At 45.3% G+C, this 26,363-nt stretch overlaps 2 long non-coding RNA genes across 4 annotated transcripts; one reads left to right on the top strand and one right to left on the bottom strand.

The window, feature by feature from the left end:
• Positions 1 to 1,497: 1,497 nt before the first annotated feature.
• Positions 1,498 to 26,354, bottom strand: LOC124901656 (uncharacterized). Of its 3 annotated transcripts, XR_007060350.1 has the most exons (7): positions 26,231 to 26,354; positions 23,739 to 23,855; positions 23,286 to 23,339; positions 17,731 to 17,850; positions 13,906 to 14,385; positions 13,664 to 13,767; positions 1,498 to 2,171 (listed from the first exon to the last, which is right to left on the bottom strand). It is a non-coding gene; the product is annotated as an uncharacterized LOC124901656 (long non-coding RNA). The 3 variants fall into 3 exon arrangements; XR_007060351.1 differs by lacking the exons at positions 13,664 to 13,767; positions 13,906 to 14,385; positions 17,731 to 17,850; ... (1 more) ...; positions 23,739 to 23,855; positions 26,231 to 26,354 and adding an exon at positions 5,330 to 5,914; XR_007060352.1 differs by lacking the exons at positions 13,664 to 13,767; positions 13,906 to 14,385; positions 17,731 to 17,850; ... (1 more) ...; positions 23,739 to 23,855; positions 26,231 to 26,354 and adding an exon at positions 5,193 to 5,312.
• Positions 21,259 to 24,214, top strand: LOC105375326 (uncharacterized). Its single transcript, XR_927602.2, has 3 exons — positions 21,259 to 21,406; positions 23,266 to 23,419; positions 24,104 to 24,214. It is a non-coding gene; the product is annotated as an uncharacterized LOC105375326 (long non-coding RNA).
• Positions 26,355 to 26,363: the final 9 nt, after the last annotated feature.

The following is a 26,363-nucleotide window of genomic DNA, read 5'->3' as shown; positions in this document are numbered from 1 at the left end:
CCAGCAATGTTTCAAAATGCCTCCTGTGAGCAGCATCAAATGCAGGAGAATAGTGTCACATTAAGTAGATGGTGGGTCCAGCCATATGTCACTATTCCGTCTCCAGGCTGGGCCTAGGCAGAAGAGTCATTCACTCAGGTGCTGAGCAGAGGTATATTTCACAATCACACCTGCAGGAAAGTCCAGGGATGAGACTAACAATTCCACACATGTCCTGGTTGTAGGCGTGAGCATTAACACTTTCTGCGCTTTTTGTCTAACTACACGAGTTACAATCTCATTGGTAAACTGTATCTGCGCATGACAGCCTCAATCCCTTCTGCAGATTTGTGTTGCTTTAGTGGAGCCACAGCCTCACGGGTGTGCTGAATTTGTTTCTGACAGTACCAACTAACCTGGAGATCAGATCCAGGTATGAGAAGAAATTTTAAAACTTTTAACTGCTTAAGGGTCTGAAATTTAGAACCTCAATAGTGGGCTGTGTTCATGTGAAAGATGACAAGTTTTACTGTCAACTTAGTGTGCATACCAGTGTCACAATCTCACCTGTGTGCTGGGCCTTGTTAGGACACTCTCTATACCACTCGAGGGCTTTATATAATATACACGTGAGTCACAATATGCTCTGATACCTTCATGCTGGTACAGACCAATGATTGTAGCTGTGATCCTAGGCCCAGGTATGAGAGTCAGCATCTTTTCAATTGGCTGTGTGAAAATAATACAGTCATCACCTGCCCATGTGGTAAGTTTAGAAGTGAGTCACCATTCAAACTGTGGCCAGATGTTAACAAATGACAATCACAATTCCAATTGTGAACTATGTCTCCGTGTAAGATTCAGGACCTCACTAGTGGGATCTGTCCATGTTTGAGGGTGACAATCCTTATGGTTGGTGGTGTGTGCATATGAGAAACACAATCTCACCTGTGTGCTGGGCTCTGGAATGTCACACTCTACCACCCAAGGGCTTTATGTGATATGCAAGAGAGCAGTAGTCTTGAATAACCTTCATACAAAGAGAAGACCGAGGATCTTACCCATTTTTCTAAGCTAGCTATGAGTAACAGTGTCTCTCCTATTGGCTGATTTGAGAGTCATCATTGTACTTGTGACCTGGCCCCAGATATATGTCACAATCCCACCTGTAGGAAGTGAGCAAAATAAGAGTGTCGCATTACTTGGGTGCTGGGCTAGGCCTATGTCACTATCTCCCCTGAGGACAGGGACAAAACCCAGAAAACATCTGGGTTTTTGGCCAGGGATATTTTGCAATCCCCTCCTGAAAGCAGGACACAGGCCAGCAGTGTCACATCACGTGGGTGCTGGGCCCAGTGATATTTCACAAAGTTCCCTGTGAGAAAGATCAAGGCAGGAGAGACACACCACCTGGTTATTGGGTCTAGTGACATGTCACAATCTTTCTTGTGGACAGGGTACATGCAGAAAAGGAGAGTCAGATTCTCTGGGTGATAGATGCAGAGATATTTCACAAGGTTCTAGGTCAGCAGAACACAGGCAGGAGTCTTTTATTCCCTACATGTTGGGTCCAGTGATATGTCATAATTCCCAATATATGCATTGCCTGGGGAAAAAGGCAAGTCATGGCACCTAGGTGCTGAGTATAGTGATATGTTATCATTTCCTCTTTTGGCAAGATTCAAGCAGAAGCGGGGGGTCACATCGCCTAGGCGATGAATGAAAAGTTGTGTCATAATACCCTGGTGGGCAGAGCCAATGCAAGAGAGTAGCATTACCTAGGTTTGTGATCGAGCCCCATGTCACAATACACAATTTATGCCGGGCCCAGGCAAGAGAAGAGAGTTACATTACCTAGGTGCTGGGTTCAGCAATCCATCACAATTTTCTCATGAGCAGAGCCCAAGCAGTAGAGAAGAGTCACATCACCTATTTGCTGGGCCCAGAGATATTTCATAGTCTCTTCTGTGAGCAAAGTCCATGTAAGAGAAGAGAGTTACATCAATAGCTGATGGGCCCAAAGATATGTCACAATGCCCCATGTTGGCAGAGTCTACTAAGAAGACACATCGTTTTGATGCTGAGCTAAGAAATATGTCACAATGTCTTCAAGGGTGGGTCCAAGGCAAAAGTGTCACATCACCTTCATTTTGAGGACAGCAATAAGTCAAAATCTCCCTTGTGGGCAGAACCTAAGAAAAAGAAAAAAGTCACAATAGCTAAGTGCAGGGTTCAGCAATAGGTGAAAAGCCCCTTGTGAGCAGAAACCAGGCAGGAAAAGGGAGTCAGAACACCTGAGTGATGAGTGCTGAGATATGTCACAACGCTCCCTGTAAAAAGGGCCCAGGCAGAGGAGTCACATCACCCGGGTCTTGGACACTGCAATATGTCAAAATGGTCAATGTGGGCAGGGCACAGGCAGAAGAGTCACATAACCTGGGCTCAGAGGCCAAGCAATATGTCACAAATGTCCTCTCTGTGGGCAGCTCCAAGGCAGGAGTATAGATCACATCACCTGAGTTTTGGGCCCAGAGAAATATTAAAATTCCATCTGTGGGCGTGCCCTAGGAAGGGAAGTCAAATCAGTCAGATACTCGGCACAGGCATGTGTCAGAACCACACCTGTAGGAAAGTCCAGGGATGAGATGAACAATCCCACACATGTTCCAGCTTTAGGTGTGAGAGTCAACACCTTGTGTGTGATTGGTCTAAGCACATGAGTAAAAATCTTTTTAAAATTTTTTTTATTTTAGTTTTATTTATTTATTTATTTATTGAGATGGAGTCTTACTCTGTCACCCAGGCTGAAGTGCAATGGCACGATCTCGGCTCACTGCAACCTCTGCCTCCCAGGTTCAAGTGGTTCTCCTGCCTCAGCCTCCTGAGTAGCTGGGATTACAGGCACTCACCACTATGTCCGGCTAATTTTTGTATTCTTAGTAGAGACAGGGTTTCACCATGTTAGTCAGGCTGGTCTCGAACTCCTGACCTCAGGTGATCTGCACGCCTCTGCCTCCCAAAGTGTTGGTTTACAGGCGTGAGCCACCGCATCCGGCTATGAGTAAGAATCTTAATGGTAAACTTAATCTCTGCATGAGAGTCTCAATTCCTCCTGTGACCTCCTTAGTAGAGTCACAGCCTCACACGTGCTGAATCTTGGTCTGAGGGTCACTGACTCACATGTGGACCAAATCCACGTGTGAGTCAATTTTCAGCTGGACATGGTGGCTCATGTCTATAATCCAAGCACTTTGAGAGGCCAAGGTGGGTGGATCATTTGAGGCCAGGAGTTTGAGACCAGCCTGGCCAACATGGTAAACTTCCCTCTCTACTAAAAATACAGAAATTAGCCGGGTGTGGTGGCATATGCTTGTAAACACAGCTACTTGGGTGGCTAAGGCGCAAGAATCGCTTGACCCTGGGAGGCAGAGTTTGCACTGAGCTGAGACCGTGCCAGTGCACTCCAGCCTGGATGAGAGAACAAGACTCTGTCTCAAAAAGAGAGAGAGAGAGAGAGTCAATTCTCCAGATTTTGACTGTTTCTGGGTGGAAGATTCAGAACCTCAAAAATGGGTTGTGTTCATGTGGAAGGATGCCAGTTTTTACTACAGTGTAGCTGCACAGGAGTGTCACAATCTCAACTCTGTGCTGAGCTCTGTGAGAACACTCCCTTTATCACCCAAGAGCTTTATACAGAATGCATGAGAGTTGTAATTTGTGCAGGCCCCATGATCATACCTGTGGCTCTGAGCCCGTGTATAAGAGTAAATACCTTTCCAATTGGCTAGTTTCTTTTTCTTTGTTTCTTTGTTTGTTTCTTTCTTTTTTTTTCTGGGTTGCGGGGTGGTGGGGATAGAGTCTTACTCTATCACCCAGGCTGGAGTACATCTCAGCTCACTGCAACCTCCGTCTCCTGGGTTCAATCAACTCTCCAGCCTCAGCCTCCTGAGTAGCTATGATTACAGGCACAAGCCACTATGCCCAGCTAATTTTTGTGTTTTTAGTAGAGATGGGTTTTTGCCACATTAGCCTGGCTGGTCTCAAACTCCTGACCTCTGGTGATCTGCCCACCTCGGCCTCTCAAAGTGCTGGGATTACAGGTGTGAGCCACCATGCCCAGCCTAATTAGCTAGCTTCTGATAAAAGAGTTCACACTTACCTATGACCTGGATTTAAAAATAAGTTGCCATTTCAACTGTGGCTGGATGTTGACATGTGAGAGTCAAAAATTCAGCTGCATACTGCATCTATGTGTGAGATTCAAGACTTAACCAATTTGTTCTTTTCATGTGTGAGGGTGACAATCCTAACATTCAGCTGGGTGTGCATGCAAAAAAGACAATCTCACCTTTGTGCTTGGCCCTGTGATGACACGCTCTGTATCGCTGAAGGGCATTATGTAACATGTGAGAGTGGTAATCCCGTATAACTTTTTTTTTTTTTAAGATGAAGTTTCACTCTGTTGCCAGGCTGGAGTGCAGTGGCGCGATCTCGGCTCACTGCAATCTCCACCTCCCAGGTCCAAGCGATTCTGCTGCCTCAGCTTCCCAAGTAGCTGGGACTACAGGCAAGTGCCACCATGCCCAGCTAATTTTTATATTTTTAGTAGAGACGGGGTTTCACCATTTTGGCCAGGACGGTTGTCATCTCTTGACCTCAGGAGATTGCCCGTATCGGTCTCCCAAAGTACTGGGATTACAAGCGTGAGCCACTGCGCCCAGCTCCCATAACTTTTTTTTTTTTCTTGAGATGGAGTCTCACTCTGTCGCCCAGGCGGGAGTGCAGTGGTGCAATCTCAGCTCACTGCAACCTCCGCCTTCCGGGTTCAAGCAATTCTCTGCCTCAACCTCCCAAATAGCTGGGATTACATGCGCCCGCCACCACGCCCAGCTAATTTTTGTATTTTTATTAGAGATGGGGTTTCACCATCTTGGCCAGGCTGGTCTTGAACTCCTGACCTCATGATCCACCCGTCTTGGCCTCCCAAAGTGCTGGGATTACAGACCTGAGCCACCGCGCCAGGCTGCCCATAACTTTTATATAAAGAGGAGACCCAGGGTCTTACCCGTTACACTAAGCCTCAGTACAAGAGACAGCATTGCTCATATTGGCAGGCTCAAGGAATAAAAGTCATCATCATACCTCTGAGCTTGGACAAGATATATATCAGAATTCCAGCTGTGGGTAGAGAGTAAGCAGGAGAGTAAGTTTACCTGGGTGCTGGGAAAAAGACGTGTTACAATATTCCCTGAGGACTGGCACCAGGAGAGTCACATCATCTGGGTACCAGGCCAGGGAAATGTCACAATTCCTTCTGGAAATCAGGGCAAAGAAAGCAGAGTCACAATACCTGCATGCTGGGCCCAGTGATATGTCACAATGCTCCCTGTAGGCAATACCCAGGCAGGAAAGACACATTGTCTCAATCGTGGACCCAGCAATATGTCACAATCTTCCTTATAGGCAGGATGCAGGCAGAACAGGAGAGTCACATCTCAGTGACAGATGCAGGGATACTTTACAATGCCCCCTGTTGGCAGGGCCAAGGCAGGAGTCTTAAATCCCATTCATGTAGGGCTCAGCCATAGGACTCAATACCCGATATATGCAAGGTGCAGGCAAATAAGACAGTCACATCACCCCTAGGTGTTGGGTCAAGTGACACGCTCCAATCCCCTTTTTTGTCAGGGCCCAGGCAGAAGGAAAGAGTCACATCACCTAGGTGATGAACAAAATAACATGTCATAATACCCTTGCGGGCAAAGCACAGGCAAAAGAGTTGCATCACCTATGTTTTGATCCCAGCCATATGTCACAATGTAAAATGTATGCAGGGCCCAGGCAGGAGAGGAGAGTCACATCACCTAGCCTCTTGGCCCAGTGATACATCACAATCTCTTGGACAGAACCCAAGCAGTAGAAGAGAGTCACATCATCACCTAGGTGCTGGCCCCAGCAATATGTCACAATATACCCTAAGGGGAGGGCCCAGGCAGGAGAGTCACATCACCTAGGTGAGAGGCCCAGAGGTATATCACAATGCATCCTGCATTAAGGCTAAGGAAGAAGAAAAAGAAAGTCATAAAGCCTATGGGATAGACCAAGTTATATTTCACAATCACCCTAGTGAGCATGGTTGAGGCATGAGTGGACAGTCACATGATGTAGGTGCTGAGCCAAGTAATTTGTCACAGTCCCCTCTGTGATTAGGGACCAGGTAGGAGAAAAAAGTCAAATCACCTGGGTGATGGATGCAGAGATATGTCACAATATGCCCTGTAGGCAGGGCTCTGACAAGAGAGTAACATCACTTTGGTGTTGGATTCAGAAATATGTCACAATGCCCCATGTAAGCATGGCACAAGCAGGAGAGTCAGAAAAATTGAATGCAAGGCCTGGTGATATTTTATAATTTCCACTGTGGACAGGTTCAAAGAAGAAAAGGAGACTCACATAATCTAGGCTATGGGCCCAGTGATATATCATCATTAGCTCTATTGACAGGAACCAGGCAAGAGTATCACATCACCTTTGTGCTAGGTCACTTCACCTAGGAGATGAACAGCAATATATTACTCTTTCTTCTCTGGGCATGGCCCAGGCAAGAGAGGAGCATCACATTACTTAGGTACTGGGCCCAGAGATATGTCATCATATTTCTTTTTTTTTTTTTTTTTTTTTTTTTTGAGACGGAGTCTCGCTCTGTTGCCCAGACTGGAGTGCGGTGGCAAGATCTCGACTCACTGCAACCTCTGCCTTCCAGGTTCAAGCGATTCTCCTGCCTCAGCCTCCTGAGTAGCTGGGACTACAGGCGCACGACACCACACCCAGCTAATTTTTGTATTTTTAGTAGAGACGGGGTTTCACCATGTTGGCCAGGGTGGTCTCAGTCTCCTGACCTTGTGATCCACCTGCCTCAGCCTCCCAAAGTGCTGGGATTACAGGCTTGAGCCACCGCACCAGGCCAACACCACATTTCTTATGAGCAAAGACATGGTAAGCAGGGAGAGTCAAATTAAATAGTTGATGGTCCCGGAGATATGCCACAATGCCCCCATGTGGGCAGGGTTCAAATATGAGACACACGTCACCTTGGTGCTGGTAACACTAATATGTTACAATGCCTTCTGAGGGCAATGCTTGGGAAAAAGAGTAACATTATGATCATGTTGGGCCCAGCATGATGTCACAATCTCCCCAGCAAGCAAAACCTCAGAAGAGAAGAGTCACATCAGCTAGGTACTGGACCAAGCCATATGTTACATTTTCCCGTGTGAGCCAGGACCAGATAGTCACATCAGTTGGGTGATAGGCCCATGATATGTCACAATTTTTGTATAGGCAGGGCTTAGGCAAGAAAGTTAAATCAAATAGGCATAGGACCAAGTGATATGTTACAGTGCAGTATCAAGGCGTGAGAGGAGACGCATCACCCAGGTGCAAGTCTCAATGAAGTCAAAATGCCCTCTGTGGGCAGTGCTACGGAAGGAAAATAGAGTCACATGACCTAGGTTCTGTGTCCAGTTACATGTCACAATCTCATACGTGGGCCGGGTCAAGGCAGTAGAGTCAAATCACTCAGGTGTTGCACTGGGGCCTATGTAGCAATAACACCTGCAGGAAGGTCCAGGGATGAGATTAACAATTTCACACGTGTCACAGTTCTATGTATAAGAGTTAACATCTCCTGTATGGTGGTTCTAAGTGCACGAGTTACAATTTCAATGGCTGACAGAATCCATGCTTGAGAGCCCCATTTTGTCCTGTGCACTGTGTCTTTTTAGTGGAGACGCAGCCTCACAGGTGTGCTGAATCTTAATCTGAGTGTCATAAACCCATCTGTGGAACAGATCCAAGTATAAGAGTCAATTTTCCAACTTTCAACCACCTCAGGGTGTGAGATTTAGGACCTCAACAGTGGGCTGTGTTCATGTGGGAGAAAGACAATCTTTACAGTCACCTAAGTGTGCATATGAGTGTCAAAATCTCACTTGTGTGCTGGGCCCTATTAGAATACTTTCTGTACCACCTGAGGGCTTTATACAACATGCATGAGAGTCCACTTTTGCTCTGATTCCTTCGTGCTGGAAAGGACCCATGACTGTACCTGCGGCCCTAAGCCCAAGTATGAGAGTCAACATCTTTCCTATTGACTGTGTCCAGAAAGGAGAGTCCTCACCTGCTTATAAGCCTAAACCCAACTTATAGGCAGGTGAGAACTCTCCTATCTGGACACAGTCAACAGGAAATGAGTAACCATTCCAATTGTGGCTTGTTTTCCAGATACGACAGTTACAATTCAAACTGTGGACTGTGTTCATGTGTGAGTTTCAGGACCTCAGCAGTAGGCTATGTTTATGTCTGAGGGTAAAAATTCTAATGGCTGGTGAAATGCACATATAATAACACAATCTCACTTGTGTTCTGGGATCTGCAAGAACACTCTAGTACCCAAATGTTCTATATGATATAGGAGAGTGGTAACTTATTATGACCTTTCTACAAAGAGGAGACCCATGATCGTACTCATTTCCCTAAGCCTAAATATAATAGAAGGTATTTCTCCTGTTGGTTGGTTCAAGGTATAATAGTCATTATTGCACCTGTGGGCTGAAACAAGATATATGTCACAATCCCTCCTCTCAGTAAGAAGTGAGCAGGACAGCCACATCACCTAGGTGCTAGGCCGTGAATATTTCACAACCTTTCCTGAAAGCAGGGACCAGACAGGAGAGTCACATCATTTGTACGTGTGGCAGAGAATACTTTAAAATCTCTTGTTGAAAGAAATGCAAGGATACCTAGGAATTGAACTCAGCTCTGCACCAAGCAGACCTAATAGACATCTACAGAACTCTCCACCCCAAATTAACAAAATATACACTTTTTTCAGCACCACACCACAACTATTCCAAAACTGACCACATAGTTGGAAGTAAAGCACTCCTCAGCAAATGTAAAAGGACAGAAATTATAACAAACTGTCTCTCAGACCACAGTGCAATCAAACTAGAACTCAGGATTAAGAAACTCACTCAAAACCACTCAACTACATGGAAACTGAACAACCTGCTCCTGAATGACTACTGGGTACATAACGAAATGAAGGCAGAAATAAAGATGTTCTTTGAGACCAACGAGAACAAAGACACAACATACCAGAATCTCTGGGACACATTCAAAGCAGTGCGTAGAGGGAAATTTATAGCACTAAATGCCCACAAGAGAAAGCAGGAAAGATCCAAAATTGACACCCTAACATCACAATTAAAAGAACTGGAAAAGCAAGAGCAAACACATTCAAAAGCTAGCAGAAGGCAAGAAATAACTAAAATCAGAGCAGAACTGAAGGAAATAGAGACACAAAAAACCCTTCAAAAAAATCAATGAATCCAGGAGCTGGTTTTTTGAAAAGATCAACAAAATTGATAGACCGCTAGCAAGACGAATAAGGAAGAAAAGAGAGAAGAATCAAATAGATGCAATAAAAAATGATAAAGGGGATATCACCACCGATCCCACAGAAATACAAACTACCATCAGAGAATACTACAAACACCTCTACGCAAATAAACTAGAAAATCTAGAAGAAATGGATAAATTCCTCGACACATACACCCTCCCAAGACTGAACCAGGAAGAAGTTGAATCTCTGAATAGACCAATAACAGGCTCTGAAATTGTGGCAATAATCAATAGCTTATCAACAAAAAAGAGTCCAGGACCAGATGGATTCACAGCCAAATTCTACCAGAGGTACAAGGAGGAGCTGGTACCATTCCTTCTGAAACTATTCCAATCAATAGAAAAAGAGGGAATTCTCCCTAACTCATTTTATGAGGCCAGCATCATCCTGATACCAAAGCCGGGCAGAGACACAACCAAAAAAGAGAATTTTAGACCAATATCCTTGATGAACATTGATGCAAAAATCCTCAATAAAATACTGGCAAACCGAATCCAGCAGCACATCAAAAAGCTTATCCACCATGATCAAGTGGGCTTCATCCCTGGGATGCAAGGCTGGTTCAATATACGCAAATCAATAAATGTAATCCAGCATATAAACAGAACCAAAGACAAAAACCACATGATTATCTCAATAGATGCAGAAAAGGCCTTTGACAAAATTCAGCGACCCTTCATGCTAAAAACTCTCAATAAATTAGGTATTGATGGGATGTATCTCAAAATAATAAGAGCTATCTATGACAAGCCCACAGCCAATATCATACTGAATGGGCAAAAACTGGAAGCATTCTCTTTGAAAACTGGCACAAGACAGGGATGCCCCCTCTCACCACTCCTATTCAACATAGTGTTGGAAGTTCTGGCCAGGGCAATTAGGCAGGAGAAGGAAATAAAGGGCATTCAGTTAGGAAAAGAAGAAGTCAAATTGTCCCTGTTTGCAGATGACATGATTGTATATCTAGAAAACCCCATTGTCTCAGCCCAAAATCTCCTTAAGCTGATAAGCAACTTCAGCACAGTCTCAGGATACAAAATCAATGTGCAAAAATCACAAGCATTCTTATACACCAATAACAGACAGAGAGCCAAATCATGAGTGAACTCCCATTCACAATTGCTTCAAAGAGAATAAAATATCTAGGAATCCAACTTACAAGGGATGTGAAGGACCTCTTCAAGAAGAACTACAAACCACTGCTCAATGAAATAAAAGAGGATACAAAGAAATGGAAGAACATTCCATGCTCATGGGTAGGAAGAATCAATATTGTGAAAATGGCCATACTGCCCAAGGTAATTTATAGATTCAATGCCATCCCCATCAAGCTACCAATGACTTTCTTCACAGAATTGGAAAAAACTACTTTAAAGTTCATATGGAACCAAAAAAGAGCCCGCATCGCCAAGTCAATCCTAAGCCAAAAGAACAAAGCTGGAGGCATCACGCTACCTGACTTCAAACTATACTACAAGGCTACAGTAACCAAAACAGCATGGTACTGGTACCAAAACAGAGATACAGATCAATGGAACAGAACAGAGCCCTCAGAAAGAACGCCACATATCTACAACTATCTAATCTTTGACAAACCTGACAAAAACAAGCAATGGGGAAAGGATTCCCTATTTCATAAATGGTGCTGGGAAAATTGGCTAGCCATATGTAGAAAGCTGAAACTAGATCCCTTCCTTACACCTTATACAAAAATTAATTCAAGATGGATTAAAGACTTAAATGTTAGACCTAAAACCATAAAAACCCTAGAAGAAAACCTAGGCAATACCATTCAGGACATAGGCGTGGGCAAGGACTTCATGTCTAAAACACCAAAAGCAATGGCAACAAAAGACAAAATTGACAAATGGGATCTAATTAAAGAGCTTCTGCACAGCAAAAGAAACTACCATCAGAGTGAACAGGCAACCTACAAAATGGGAGAAAATTTTTGCAACCTACTCAGCTGACAAAGGGCTAATATCCAGAATCTACAATGAACTCAAACAAATTTACAAGAAAAAAACAAACAACCCCATCAAAAAGTGGGTGAGGGACATGAACAGACACTTCTCAAAAGAAGACATTTATGCAGCCAAAAAACACATGAAAAAGTGCTCACCATCACTGGCCATCAGAGAAATGCAAATCAAAACCACAATGAGATACCATCTCACACCAGTTAGAATGGCAATCATTAAAAAGTCAGGAAACAACAGGTGCTGGAGAGGATGTGGAGAAATAGGAACACTTTTACACTGTTGGTGGGACTGTAAACTAGTTCAACCATTGTGGAAGTCAGTGTGGCAATTCCTCAGGGATCTAGAACTAGAAATACCATTTGACCCAGCCATCCCATTACTGGGTATATACCCAAAGGACTATAAATCATGCTGCTATAAAGACACATGCACATGTATGTTTATTGCGGCACTATTCACAATAGCAAAGACTTGGAACCAACCCAAATGTCCAACAACGATAGAATGGATTAACAAAATGTGGCACATATACACCATGGAATACTATGCAGCCATAAAAAAAGATGAGTTCATGTCCTTTGTAGGGACATGGATGAAATTGGAAATCATCATTCTCAGTAAACTATCGCAAGGACAAAAAACCAAACACCGCATGTTCTCACTCATAGGTGGGAATTGAACAATGAGAACACGTGGACACAGGAAGGGGAACATCACACTCTGGGGACTGTTGGGGGGTGGGGGGAGGGGGGAGGGATAGCATTAGGAGATATACCTAATGCTAAATGACGAGTTAATGGGTGCAGCACACCAGCATGGCACATGTATACATATGTAACTAACCTGCACGTTGTGCACATGTACCCTAAAACTTAAAGTATAATAATAATAAAATTAAAAAAAAAAAAATAAAGAAAGCAACGCAGAAGAAGCAGAATCATTTCATCTGGGTGCTGGGACCAGCAATATGTCACAGTGCTCCCTGTAGGAAAGGCCCAGGCAGGAGAGATACGTCTATTGGTTGCTGCATGCAGAAATGTGTCAGAATTTTTCTTGTTGGCAAAATGCAGGCAGAAATGAAGAGTCACAAGTTTTAGGTGACAGATGCAATTTTTAGGGGATGGATGGATTTCACAAGGCTCCCTGCAGGCAGGGCTCAAGCAGGAGACTCACATTCCCTAGGTTCTGGGTCTAGCAATATGTCATAGTACCAAAAATATGTCGGGCAAAGCAAAAAGAGGGGAGTTACATCATCTAGGATTTTGGTCCACCAATATGTCAAAGATATTGTTTGGCTCTGTGTCTCCATCCAAGTCTCATCTTGAAGTGTAATCTTTATAATTCCCACACGTCAAGGGAGGGACCAGGTGGAGGTAATTAAATGAGGGGGTGGTTTTTTTCCATGCTGTTCTCATGATAGTGAGTTCTCACAAGATCTGATGGTTTTATAAGGGGCTCTTCCTTCTTTGCTCAGAATTTCTCCTTCCTGCCAACTTGTAAAGAAGGTGCCTTGCTTTTCCTTTGCCTTCCACCATAATTGTAAATTTCCTGAGGCCTCTCCAGTCATGCTGAAATGTGAGTCAATTCAACCTCTTTCCTTTATAAATTACCTAGTTTTGGGCAGTTCTTTATAGCAGTATGAGAATGGACTAATAAAGTCACAATCCCCTTTTGGCCATGCCCAGGTAAAAGAGAAGAGTCACATCTTCTAGGTGATGAACAAAAATATATGACAGAATGCCCCTGTGTGTAGGCCCCATGCAGAAAAGTCACAAAACCTAGGTGTTGGCCTCAGTCCTATATCACAATATGCAATGTATGCAAGGTTCAGGCAGTAAAAGAGAGTCACATCACCTGGATCTGAGCCCAGTAATATGTCAAAATCCCTCATTGGACAAAGCCCAAACAATAGAAGAGTCATATTACCTTGGTGGTGTGCCTAATGATACGTCACAATTCTTTCTTGGTCAGAGCCCAATCAGTAGAAGAGAGTCAATTCACACAGGTTCTGGGTTCAGCAACATGTCACAATACCCTTTGAGGAGAGGGCTCATGCAGGAGAGTCACATTACCTGAGTGACAGGCCCAGATATATGTCACAATTTCCCCTTTGGGGAGGGCTCAGAAACAAAGGGAGAGTCACATAACCTAGGGGCTGGGCCCAGCTATATGTCACAATCACCCCAGTTGGCAGAGCCCAGGCATAACAGAAATGTCATATCATGTAGTTGCTTACCCAAGAGATGTGTCACAATTTTCACTGTGAATAGGTCCCAAGAAGAGTCACATTATCCAGGTGATGGACCCAGAGATATGTTACAATGTTCCCTGTTGGTAGAACTCAGAAAAAGAGGAAAATTACATAACATAAAGGCTGAGTTTAGCTATGTCAGTTATCTCAGTGGGCAGGCCCAAGGCATGAGAGAAAAATCACATCATTAGTAAGTGCAAGGCCTGGTGAAATGTCACAATACTTACCATGTACAGGACACAGGAAGAAGAGGAGAGTCACGTCATTTAGGTGATGGGCCCAGAGTTAAGTCACAATGAGTTTTGTGGGCAGGGACCAGGCAGAAGAATCACATCACCTCTCTGCTGGGCCCAGAAATAAGTCACTTTCTCTTCTGTGAGCACCATCCAGGCAGAAAAGGGAGTCACATCACCTAGGTGCTGGGCCCAGAGTTATGTCCCGCCTTGGTCTCCCAAAGTGCTGGGATTTGCCTCTCCTACAGGCAAAGCCAAGGTAAGAGAAGAGAGTAACAACAAATAGTAAATGGGCCCAGAGATATGTCACAATAGCCCCTGTGTGCAGGCTCCAGGCAGGAGACTCACATCACCTTGGTGCTGGGCCCAGCAGTACGTCACAGTGAACTTCAGAGTTCTGGGCCAAGGCAAAAGTGTAACTACACCTTGGTGTTAGGCCCAGTGATATGTCACAATCTTCCCTGTTGGTAGAACCTAGGAAAAAGAGAAGAGTCACATCAGCTAGGTGCTGGGCCCAGCAGTAGGTCACAATCTCCTCTGTAAGGACCAGGCAGGGGAAGAGAGTCATGTTGCCTGAGTGACAGGTGCAGAGGTATATAACATGATGCCCCCATTAAGCAGGACTGAGGCAGGAAAGTTACATCATTTGGGTGTTGAACGTAGCAATATGTCACGATTTTTTTTTTTTGAGACAGAGCCTTGCTCTGTTGCCCAGGCTGGAGTGAGGTGGCATGATCTCAACTCACTGCAACCTCCGCCTCCTGGGTTCAAGCAATTCTCCTTCCTCAGCCTCTTGAGTAGCTGGGATTACAGGTGCGTGCCACCATGCCCAGTTAATTTTTGTATTTTTAGTAGAGACGGAGTTTCACCATGTTGGCAAGGCTGGTCTCAAACTCCTGACCTTTTGATCCACCCACCTTGGCCTCCCAAAGTGCTGGGATTACAGGCATGAGCCACTGCACCCAGCCAATATTTTACAATTATTCCTGGGGACAGGGCACAGGCAGAAGCCATCTAGTACCAAGATGCAGAACCCAGCAACATGTCACAATACCCCTGTGAGCAGTGCCAAAGCAGGAGGGGAGGCCCACATAACCTTGGTGCAAAGCCCAGAGATATAGCAAAATGCCCCTGTGGGCAATACCAAGGCAGGAGAATAATGACACATCACGTAGGTTCTGAGTTAAGCAATATGTCGCAATTCCACCTGTTGTGCCCAGCTAGGAAAGTCAAATCACTCAGGTATTGGGCAAAGAAATATTTTACAATCACACCTGCATAAAGGTCCAGGGATAAAATGAACAATTATGTACATGTCCCGGTCCTAGGTATTAGAGTCGATACCTCCTGTATGTAAGGTCCAAGTACATGAGTCACAATTTCAACAGGTGACTGGATCCATGCTTGGGAGCCACAGTCCCTCAAGTCCACTGTATATTCTTCATAGAGTCACAGCCTCACAGGTTTGCTGAATCTTGGCCTGAGAGTCACAAACCCACCTGTGGACCAGATCCATGTATGGGAGTCAATTTTCCAACTTTTGACTGCCTCTGGTTGTGAGATTCAGGACCCCAACATTGGCTGTGTTTATGTGGTTGAATGACAGTCTTTATTGTTGGCCATGTGTGCATACAAGTGTCACAATTTTACTTGTGTGCTGGATACTGTAGGGACCCTCTCTGTTTTACTAAGGACATCACACAGTATGCATGAGAGTTGCAATCTGCTCTGAAACCTTTGTACTTGGATCCAGAGATATGTCACAATGCTCTAGGTTTATAACTGTATTTGGGCTTATAACCACTATCTTACCTGTGGTTGTAGGCACAGATATGAGACTGAATATCTCTTAAAATGACTGGTTTTAGATAGGAGGGTCTTCACCTGCCTATAAGCTCGGTTTAGAAATGAGTAACCATGGGCTGGGTGTGGTGGCTCACACCTGTAATGCCAGCACTTTGGGAGGCTGAGGCAAGTGGATTGCCTGAGGTCAGGAGTTCGAGACCAGCCTGGCTAACATGGTGAAACACCATTTCTACTAAAAATACAAAAATTAGCCAGATGTGGGGGCAGGTGGCTGTAATCCCAGCTACTGGGGAGACTGAGGCAGGAAAATTGCTTGAACCCAGGAGGTGAAGGGTGCAGTGAGCCAAGATTGCGCCATTGCACTCCAGCCGGGGTGACAAGAGCGAGACTTCGTCTCAAAAAAAAAAAAAAGAGAAAAAGAAATGAGTAAACATTCCAACTGTGGCCAGATGTTCAGATGTTCACATATGCAATCACAAATCTAACCGTGGACTGCATCCATAAGTTGGATTGAGGATGTCACCATTGGGCTCTCTTCATGTGTCAAGGTGACAGTGCTAATAGTTGGCTGGGTGTGTCTATGAAAAGAAAAATCTCCCCTGAATTTACGCTCTCTGCATCACCCAAGGGCTTTATACAATGTGGGAGAAAGTGGTAATTCTTTATGATCTTTGTACAAAGAGGAGACCCAGCATCTTACCTGTTTCCCTCAGCCTAGCTATAAGAGAGAGTATTTATTTTTACTAGCTAATTTGAGGAATGAGAGTCATCATCACACATAGAAGTTAGGCCAAGATATATGTCACAATCTCATTTGTTGGTAAGGATTGAGCAGGAGAGTCACATCAACCGGGGGCTGGGAGAGGAATATGTCACAATCTTCCATGTGGACAGAATGCAGGCTGAAGAGGGGAGTTACATCTCCTTGGTGACAGACGCAGATATATATCACAAGGCCCTATGCGTGACAATGCAGATATTTATCACAAGGCAGTGCCCAGGCAGGAACTTCCCTTTCTGAAAGTTTTGGACCCAGCAATATGTCACAATATCCAAAGTATGTGGATTTTGAGAAAAAAAGAGAGTCAAATCACAGAGGTGCTTGGTCCACTGATATGTGAGGCCCAGGAAGAAGAGGAGAGTCACATCACCTAGGTGATGAATAAAAAAATGTTTCATAATACCCCTGTGGCCAGAGCCCATGCAGAAGAGTCTCAATGGACCAAGCCATATGTCACAATACACAATATATAGAGTACCCAGGCAGAAGATGCAAGTCATGTCACCTAGGTGCTAGGCCCAGTGGTACATCACAGTCCCTTTCAGGGCATAGCTCAAGCAATAGAAAAGAGTCACATAAACTAGGTGCTGAGTTTGGCAATTTGTCACAATACCCTTTGAGGGTAGGCCCCAAGAAAAAAATTCACATCGCCTAAATAAGGGGGGCAAAGAAACCCCATCCATACTAAAAATACAAAATTAGCTGGGTGTGGTGGTGGGTGCCTGTAATCCCAGCTACTTGGGAGGCTGAGGCAGGAGAATCGCTTGAACCCTGGAGGCGGAGGTTGCGGTGAGCCAAGATGACACCATTGCACTACGTGCTGGAAAACAAGAACAAAATTCCATCTCAAAAAAAAGGAGAAAAAAAAAAGGTAGGTGTTGGGCCAAGCCATATGTCACAATCCCTGCCATGGACAGGTCCCAGAAAGAAGAGAAGAGTCTCATTATCTAGGTAATTGGCCCAGAGACATGTCACAATAACTCCTGTGGGCAGTGATCAGGCAGAAGAATCACATCACCTGTATGCTGAGCCCAGGAATAAGTCATTCTCTCTTCTGTGGAAATTGCCCAGACAAGCACAGCAAGTCATATCACCTAGGTCCTATGCCCAGAGATATGTCACAATCTTTCCTATGGGCAAGTCCCAGGCAAGAGAGGAGAGACACATTAAATAGTTGGTTGGCCCAGAGATAGGTCACAATGACCCTGTGGGGAGGTTTCAGGCAGGTTCACCTTGGTTCTGGGCTCAGCTATTTGTCACAATGTCTTCTGAGGGCAGGGCCAAGGCAAAAGAGTAACGTCACCTTGGTGCTGGGCACAGTGATATGTCACCATTTCCCTTGTGGGCAGAACCTAGAAAAAAGAGGAGAGTCACATCAGCTGGATTCTGGGCATAGCAATATGTCACAATACCCGCTGTGAGCAAAGACCAGGTAGAAGAAGACAGTGACATCATGGAGCCTCCTGCAGGCAGGGCCATGACAAGACAGTTACATTACCTGAGTGCAAGGCCTGGTGATATGTAACAATGTCTACTTTGGGCAGTGCCAAAGCAGAAGAGAAGACTCACATCACCTGGGTGCAAGGCCCGGTGATATGTCACAATGCCCACTGTGGGCAGTGCTGAGACAGGAGACTAGATCACATTACCTAGGGGCCAGGTCCAGCAACATGGCACATTTTGAACTGTGGGCCGGGCCCAGGCAAGAGAGTCAAATCACTTAAGAGCTGGGCAGAGACTTATTTAACTATCACACCTGTAGGAAGGTGCAGGGATGGTATTAACAAGCCCACACATGTCCGGGTTCTAGGTATGAAAGTCAGCACCTCTTGTATGTTGGGTTTAAGTACATGAGTCACCATCTCAGCAGTGGACTGGATCAGTGCATGGGAGCCTCAATCTTTCCTGCAGACTATCTCACCTTAGTAGAGTCCCAGCCTCACAGGTTTGCTGAATCTTAGCCTGAGAGTCACCAGAACACTTGTGGACCTGATCCACATATGAGAGTCAATTTTCCAACTTTTGACTGCCTCCAGGTGTGAGTTTCAGAATCTCAACAGTGGGCTGTGTTCACGGGAAATGATAACAATCTTTACTGTCAGCAGGGTGTGATATGGGTGTACGGTCAATCCTCTTGGGAGAGATTGACCCAACATACAAGATATGTTGACACTCCCACCTAGAACTAGAACATGTGTGGGATTGTGATCTTATTCCTGGACCTTCCTGCAAGTGTGATTGTGACATACACCTTTACCCAGCACCTAAGTGGTTCGACTTTGCTGCCTGGAGTGAACTCACAGATAAAATTGTGACATATTGCTCGACCCTGCACCTTGGTGGTGTGACTCTACTCTCAAGCCTTGTCATTGCCCACATGAAGAATTATGACATACTGCTGGGTCTTGCACCCAAGTTATGTGAGTCTTTTCTTCTGCCTTGGTGTTGTATACAGGGAGCATTATGATATATTGCTGCATCCTGTGTCAAGGATTTGTGGCTCTTCTGCCTGTGCCTTGCCCACATGGGCCAATGGGACATACTGCTGAGTCTAACACTTAGGTAATGTAACTCTCCTGCCTGGGCACTGCTTACGGGAAACATTGTGACATATTTGTGTACCTATCAACCAGGTTACATAAATCTCTTCTCCTTCCTGATTCCTGACACTTAGGTAATGAAACTTCCCTGCCTGGGAACTTCTTACAGAGGACATTGTGATATATGTGTGTACCCATCAACCAGGTTACATAAATCTCTTCCCCTTCCTGATTCATGCTAACAGAGGGGATTGTGGCTCTTCTATTGTTTTTAGGTTCTGTCTTCAGGGAAAATTGTGACATACCACTGGACCCAACACTAACAGGATGTTACCGTTTCGCTTTGGCCCTGACCTGGAAAGGCATTCAGCCCTATTGCTGGGCCTAGCACAAAAATCATGTGGCTCTTTTGCCTGGAGACACATTGTGACATATCTCAAACTTATCAACTATTTGATGTGACTCTCTATTCTTACTTGCACTTTGCTTTTGAAAGATTCTGACATATCTCTGTCTCTGGGTCCTCTCCTTCTGGACAAACCCCCTCAGAAAAAAAAAAAAGTGACTTATTGCTGACCTCAGCACACAAGTGATGTAATTCTTCTGCCTGGTCCCTGCCCACAGAGAGCACTGCAACGTATTTTTTAGTCTATAAACTTTTGATGTAACTTTCCTCTTTTACCTTAATCCTCCACATGGTCCCTGCCCACCCAGGGCATTTTGACATATCTCTAGGCCCCTCAACTATTGGATATGATGCTCTTTTCACATCTGAGCTTTGCCAAAAAGTGAGATTCTGATATATACCTGTGGGCTCAGCACCTAAATAATATGACTCCTCCTTTGCCTGGGTCCTGTATTCATTGTGTGTTATGACATATGGCTGAGTCCAATACCTACATGATGTGACTCTCCTGCCTGGGTTTTGCCCACAGGGTACTTTAAAATATCTTTTTCTTTATTACCTATGTGATGTGACTCTCTTATTCCACCAGAGCCCTGCCAAATAGAAGGATTGTGACATATCACTGAACACAGCACCTAGGTGATGTGACTCTCTCCTTTTGCCTGGGCCTCACATATTTTGGGTATCGTAACAAATTGCTGGGCCCCACCACTGGGAGATGGGAGGCTTGTGCATGGATCCTGCCTATGTGGGGACCTTTTGATACTTATCTGCATCTATCACTTAGAAGATATGACTTTCCTACCTGCACCCTGCCCACAAGGAAGATTGGGAACTATCACTAGGCCATGCGTCCAGGTTATGTAACTCGGCTGCCCGTGTTCTGCTTTCAGGAGGGAATTGTCACAATCTCTTCTACAGGCAATGCCCAGGTAAGAGTAGAGAGTTACATCAAGTAGTTGACAGGCCCAGAGATATGTCACAATGTCCCCTGTGGACAGAGTTCAGGAAAGAGACTCACATCACGTTGGTGCTGGGTCCAGCAATATGTCACAATGCCTTCTGAGGGCAAGGCCAAGCCAAAGAGAAAAGAGCAATGTCACTTTGGTGCTTGGCCCAGTGGTATTTTACAATCCCCCACATGAGCAGTGATCAGGCAAAACGAGAGTGTCATATCACCTGCGAGATGTGCATAGAGATATGTCACAGTGCCCCCTGTAGTCAGGGTCTAAGCAGGAGAGTTACATTACCTGGGTTTTGGACTAAATAACATGTTATAATGCCTTATGTGGGCAGGGAACAGGCAGAAGAATCACATACCTTGGGTGTGGAGCCCAGTGATATGTCACAGTGCCCCCTATGGGCAGTGCCTAGGTAGGAGAGGAAATTCACATCACCTGGTTACTGGCCTAAAAAATCTGTCACGATTTTTTTTTCGTGGCCAGGGTTCAGGCAGAATGAAGAGTTACATCTCCTAGGTGATAAATGCAGAAATATGTCAAAAGGCCCCCTGTGGACAGGGCCCAAGCAGAAGCCTCCCAGCCCCTGGGTGTTGGGCTAAGAGATATATCACAGTACCCAAAATATGCTCAGGCCAGTAAAACAAGAACAGTCATATTACCGAGGTGCTGGGTCCAGTTATATGTCACAATCCCCACTTCTGGCAAAGCTCTGGCAGAAAAGGAGAGTCACATAACTTAGGCAATGAATAAAAAGATACCCCTAAGGGCAGAGCCCATCAAGGAGAGTTGCATAACCTAGGTGTTGGACCTGACCCTATGTCTCAATACACAATGTATGAAGAACTCAGGTGGGAGGGGAGGGTCACACTGCCTAGGTGTTAAGCCCAGCAATACAACTAAATCCTTTTTTTAGGCAGATCCCTAGCAACAGAAAAGAGTCAGATCACCTAGATGCTAGGTCCAGCAATATGTCACGATATTCCTTGAGGAAAGAGCCGAGGTAAGACAGTAACATCATCTAGGTGAAAGGCCTAGCAATATTTCACAATCTTCTCTGGAGACAGAACCCAGAAATAAAAGGAGTCACATCAGCTAGGTGCTCGGCACAGTGAAATGTCATGTTGGGTATAACTACATGAGTCACAGTCTCAATGGTGGACTGGACCAAAGAATGAGAGCCTCAATCCATCCTGTGGACTGTGTCTTCTTAGTAGAGTGATGGCCTCACAGGTTTGCTAAATGTTGATTTAAGAGTCACAAACGCAAATGTGAACCAAATCTACATATGAGAGTCGATTTCCCCACTTCCCTGCCTTTGGGTGTGAGATTCAGAACCTCAACAGTGGGCTGTTTACGTGGAAGGAAAGAAGTTTATACTGTTGGCTGGGCATGCATATGAAGGTCACAATCTCAGCTGTGTGCAGTGCCCAGGCATAAAAGAAGAGTCCAATCGCCTAGGTGTAGAATTAAGAGATTTTAATCTCTTTTTTTTTTTTTTTTCAGACAGAGTCTCGCTCTGTCACCCAGGCTGGAGTGCAGTGGCTTGATCTCAGCTCACTGCAAGCTCCGCCTCCCAGGTTCATACCATTCTCCTGCCTCAGCCTCCCGAGTAGCTGGGACTACAGGCGCCAGCCACCACACCCGGCTAATTTTTTGTATTTTTTAGTAGAGACAGAGTTTCACCGTGTTAGCCAGGATGGTCTCGATCTCCTGACCTCATGATCCGCCTGCCTCGGCCTCCCAAAGTTCTGGGATTACAGGCATGAGCCACCATGCCCGGCCTTAATCTCTTTTTTAATCTCTTCTGATACTTCTGTGGGCAAAGTCCATTGAGGAGAGCCACATCATCTATGTTTTGGACCCAGCCATACATCACAATGCACAATGTATTCAGGGCCCAGGCAGAAGAGGGGAGTCAAATAACCTGGGTACTGGGCCCAGTGATACATCAAAATACCTCCTTGGACAGGGCCTAAGCAAAGGAGGAGAGTCACATCACATCAGTGTGTGTGCAAAAATATGTCACAATACCCCTCTGAGTGAATGGCTTAGTCATGAAAGTCATGCCACCTAGGTGAGGGGCTCGATAATATGTTGCAATTTTCTCCATGTGTAAGGCTCAGTAAGAAAAGAAGAGTCACATAACCTAGGGTCTGGGCCCAGCTTCATGTCACAATCATTCTAGTTGGAAGAGCCAGAGAATGAGAGGAGTGTTACATCACACAGGCACTGGGCTCAGCAATAGGTCACAATTCCTGCTGTGGACAGGTCTCATGAAGAAAAGGAGAGTTACATCATCTAGCTGATAGGCCCAGAGACATGTCTTAATGACTCCTGTCAGCAAGAACCAGGCAGAAGAATCACATCACCTGTGTGCTGGTCATAAGTTACTCTCACTTCTGTGGGCATGGCTAGGCAAGAGAGGAGAGAGTCATATCACCTAGGGAGGGGCCCATATACGTGTTCTAATTTTTTCTTTGTGTAGGGCTCAGAAAAAAAGGAGAGTCACAAAACCAAGGGTTTGGGCCCAGTTATATGTCACAATCACCACAGTGGGCATGACCCCAGTATGAGAAGAAAGTCACATCATGTAGGTGCTGGGTCTACCGATATGTCACAATCTTCACTGTGGATAGGTCCCAGGAAGAAAACGAGTGCCATGTAATCTAGGCGATGGGCCCAGAGATACATCACAATATCTCCAATGGGATAAGCCCAAGCAAGAGAAGAGCACTCCACCAAATAGTTGATGAGTGCAGAGATATGGCACAATGCTTCCTGCAGCCAGGATCCAGGTAGGAGACTCACAGCACCTTGGTTCTGGGTCCACCAATATGTCCCAATGCTTTCTTTTGGTAGGGCCAAGGCAGAAAACTTACATCACCTTTGTGTTCGGCCCAGCAATACATCAAAATCGCTCCTGTGGACACAACCTTGAAAAAAGAGAAGAGTCACATCAGCTAGGTGCTAGGCCTAGTGATATGTCACAATCCCCACTGTGAACAGGGATAAGGTAGGAGAAGAGAGTCATAACACCTGGGTGATTGGCATAGAGATATGTCATAATGTCCCCTGTAGGTGGGACTCAGGCAGGAGAGTTAAATTGCCTTTATGTTGAACCCAGCAATAGGCCCCAGTGACCCGTGTGTTGGATGTTAGACCCAGCAATATGTCCCAGTGATCCATGTGGGCAAGGCACAGGCTGGAGAGTCACACAACCTGGGTGTGGGGACCAGCAATATGTCACAATGCTGCCAGTGGGCCATGCTAAGAAAGGAGGGGAGACTCACATCACCTGGGTGCAAGGTCAAGCTATGTGTCGCAATACTCACTGTGGGCAGTACCAAGGCAGGAAAATAAAGTCACATCTCCTAGGTGCCGGGTTCAGCAACATGTCATAATGCTATCTGTGGACTGGGCCAAGGCAGGAGAGTCAAATCACTCAGGTGCTGGGGAGAGGCATATTTCACAATCACACTTTCAGCAAGATCAAGGGATTAGATTAACAATTCAATCTAGGTGATGAAAGAAAATTTATGCGATAATACTTCTGTGGGAAGAGGCCATTCAAGAGTCAGATCACTTCGGTGTTGACCCATCCAAATGTCACCATACACAATGTATCCAGGGTCCAGAAAAGAGAGGAGAGTCACGTTACAAATTGCTGGGTCTAATGACAATTCTTTTTTTTTGGCAGAACCAAGGCAGAGATTAATAGTCACATCGCATAGTTGATGGATGAAGAAACGTGTCACAAGACCCCCTGTGGTCAGGACTCAGGCAGGAGCCTCCCATCCTTTAGGTGTTTTGCCCAGTAATATGTCACAATACATAAAATATACTAAACTGAGGCAAAAGACCAGGGTCACATCACCTAGGTGCTGGGTCCAATGATATGTCACAATCTCCAATTTTGGGAGAGCAAGGGCAGAGTTTTCATATCACCTAGGTGATGAATGAAAAGACACATAATACCCCTGCGAGCAGGGTGTTGGACCTAGTGGTATGTCACGATAACCAACAAATGCGGGTCCCAGGAAGGAGAGAACAGGTACATACCTGAGTGCTTCACTAGCAATAAATCACACTCTGCCTGGAAAGAGCTCTAGCATTATAGGAGGGTTACATCGCTGAGGTGCTGGGTCAAGCCATATGGCACAATACCACCAGAGGTGATGGCCCAGGCAGGAGTCACAATACCTAAGTGAGGGGTCCAGAAATATGTCCCAATTTTCTTCATGGGTAAGGTTTAGGGTAGAAGAGAGTAGCATAAACTATGGAATCAGGTCTTGGGCAAAGCAATATGTCACAACAACCACTGTGGACAGGTCCCAGGAAAAAGAGGAGTGTCACATTATCAAGGTGATAGCCCCAAGGTATACAAGGTATGTCATGATGACCTCTGTGAGCAGGGACCAGACAGAAGTATCATATCATCTGTGTGTTGGGCCTAGAGATAAAGTCACTCTCACTTCAGTGGGCATGGCCCAGGCAGGAGAGAAGAGTCACATCACCTAGGTGCTGGACCTAGAGATATGCCATAATCTTTCCTATGGGCAAATACCAGGTAAAAAAGGAGAGTCACATCAAATAGTAGATGGGCCCAGAGATATGTCACAATGCTTCATGTGACCAAGGTCAAGACAGAAGACTCATATCACCTTGGTGCTTGGCCCAGCATTATTTCACAATACCTTCTGAGGGCAAAGTAAAAGAGTAATGTCACTTTAGTGATGGGCCCAGCAATATGTCACAATCTCTTTTGAGGGCAGAAATTATGAAGAAGAGAAGAATCATTTCAACTAGTTGCTGAACCAAATAATATGGCACAATATGCCCCTCGGAGCTGAGATCAGGTAGAAAAGAAGTCACATAACCTGCATGATGGATGCAGAGATGTCACAATGCTCTCTCTAGGTAGAACCCAGGCAGGAGAGTTACATTACCTAAGTGTTGGACCCAGCCAAATGTCACAATGGCCCACATGGGCAGAACACTGGCAAGAGAGTCACATAAGCTGGTGGTGTGGCCCAGTAATATGTCACAGTTCCCTCTGTGGGAAGCACCAAGGCAGGAGAGAAAAGTCGTCTTATCTAAGTGAAAGGCCCAGCAATATGTCACAATGCCTTCTGAAAGCAGGGCCAGTGCAGCAGAGTAATGTAACCTTGGTGCTGGGCAAAGTGATATGTCACCGTCTTCCCTGTGGGCAGAACCCAGTAAGATGCAAATAATAAAATCACCTCAGTGCTGGACCCAGTGATAGGTCACAATTACCCCTGTGAGTGGAAACCAGACAGGAGGAGAGACTCACATCACCTTGGTGATGGCTGCAGTGATATATCACAATGTCCTATGTAGCCAGGAACCAGGCAGGAGAGTAATATCACCTGGGTTCTGAACCCAGAAATACATCACAATTGCCCATGTGGGCAGGGCACAGGCAAGAGAGTCACATAAAATCCATAACAACCCCATTTGTTGGTTGAGGCAGGCAAGAGTATTAAGTCACTCAAATGCTGAGCAGAGGCATACATCACAATCATACCTGCAGGAAGCTCCAGGGATAAGATGAACAATCTATCTTGCACATGCCCTAGTTCTAGGTATAGGAGGCACTGTCTCCTGAATGTTAAATCTGTGTGCATGAGCCACAGTCGCAATGGTGAACTGGATCTCTGCATGAGGGCCTCAATCCTTCCTATGGACTGTGTCTCTGTAGTGAAGTCACAGCCTTTATAGGTGTGCTGAACCTTGGTCTGAGAGTCACCAACCTACCTGTAGACCAGATCCACATATAAGTAACAGTTCATTTTCCAACTTTTACCTGCCTCCTGGTGTGAGATTCAGAGCCTCCACAGTGAGCTATGTCTATGTGGAAGAATGACAATTTTTCTGTCAGCTGGGTATGAATATAAGTGTCACAATCTCATCTATGTGCTGTTCCCTGTTATGACACT

The sequence above is a fragment of the Homo sapiens genome, chromosome 7, assembly GCF_000001405.40.
Source record: "Homo sapiens chromosome 7, GRCh38.p14 Primary Assembly".
Lineage (NCBI taxonomy): Eukaryota > Metazoa > Chordata > Mammalia > Primates > Hominidae > Homo > Homo sapiens.
The sequence above is the reverse complement of the archived record's forward strand: the minus strand, read 5'-3'. Positions and strand labels throughout refer to the sequence as shown.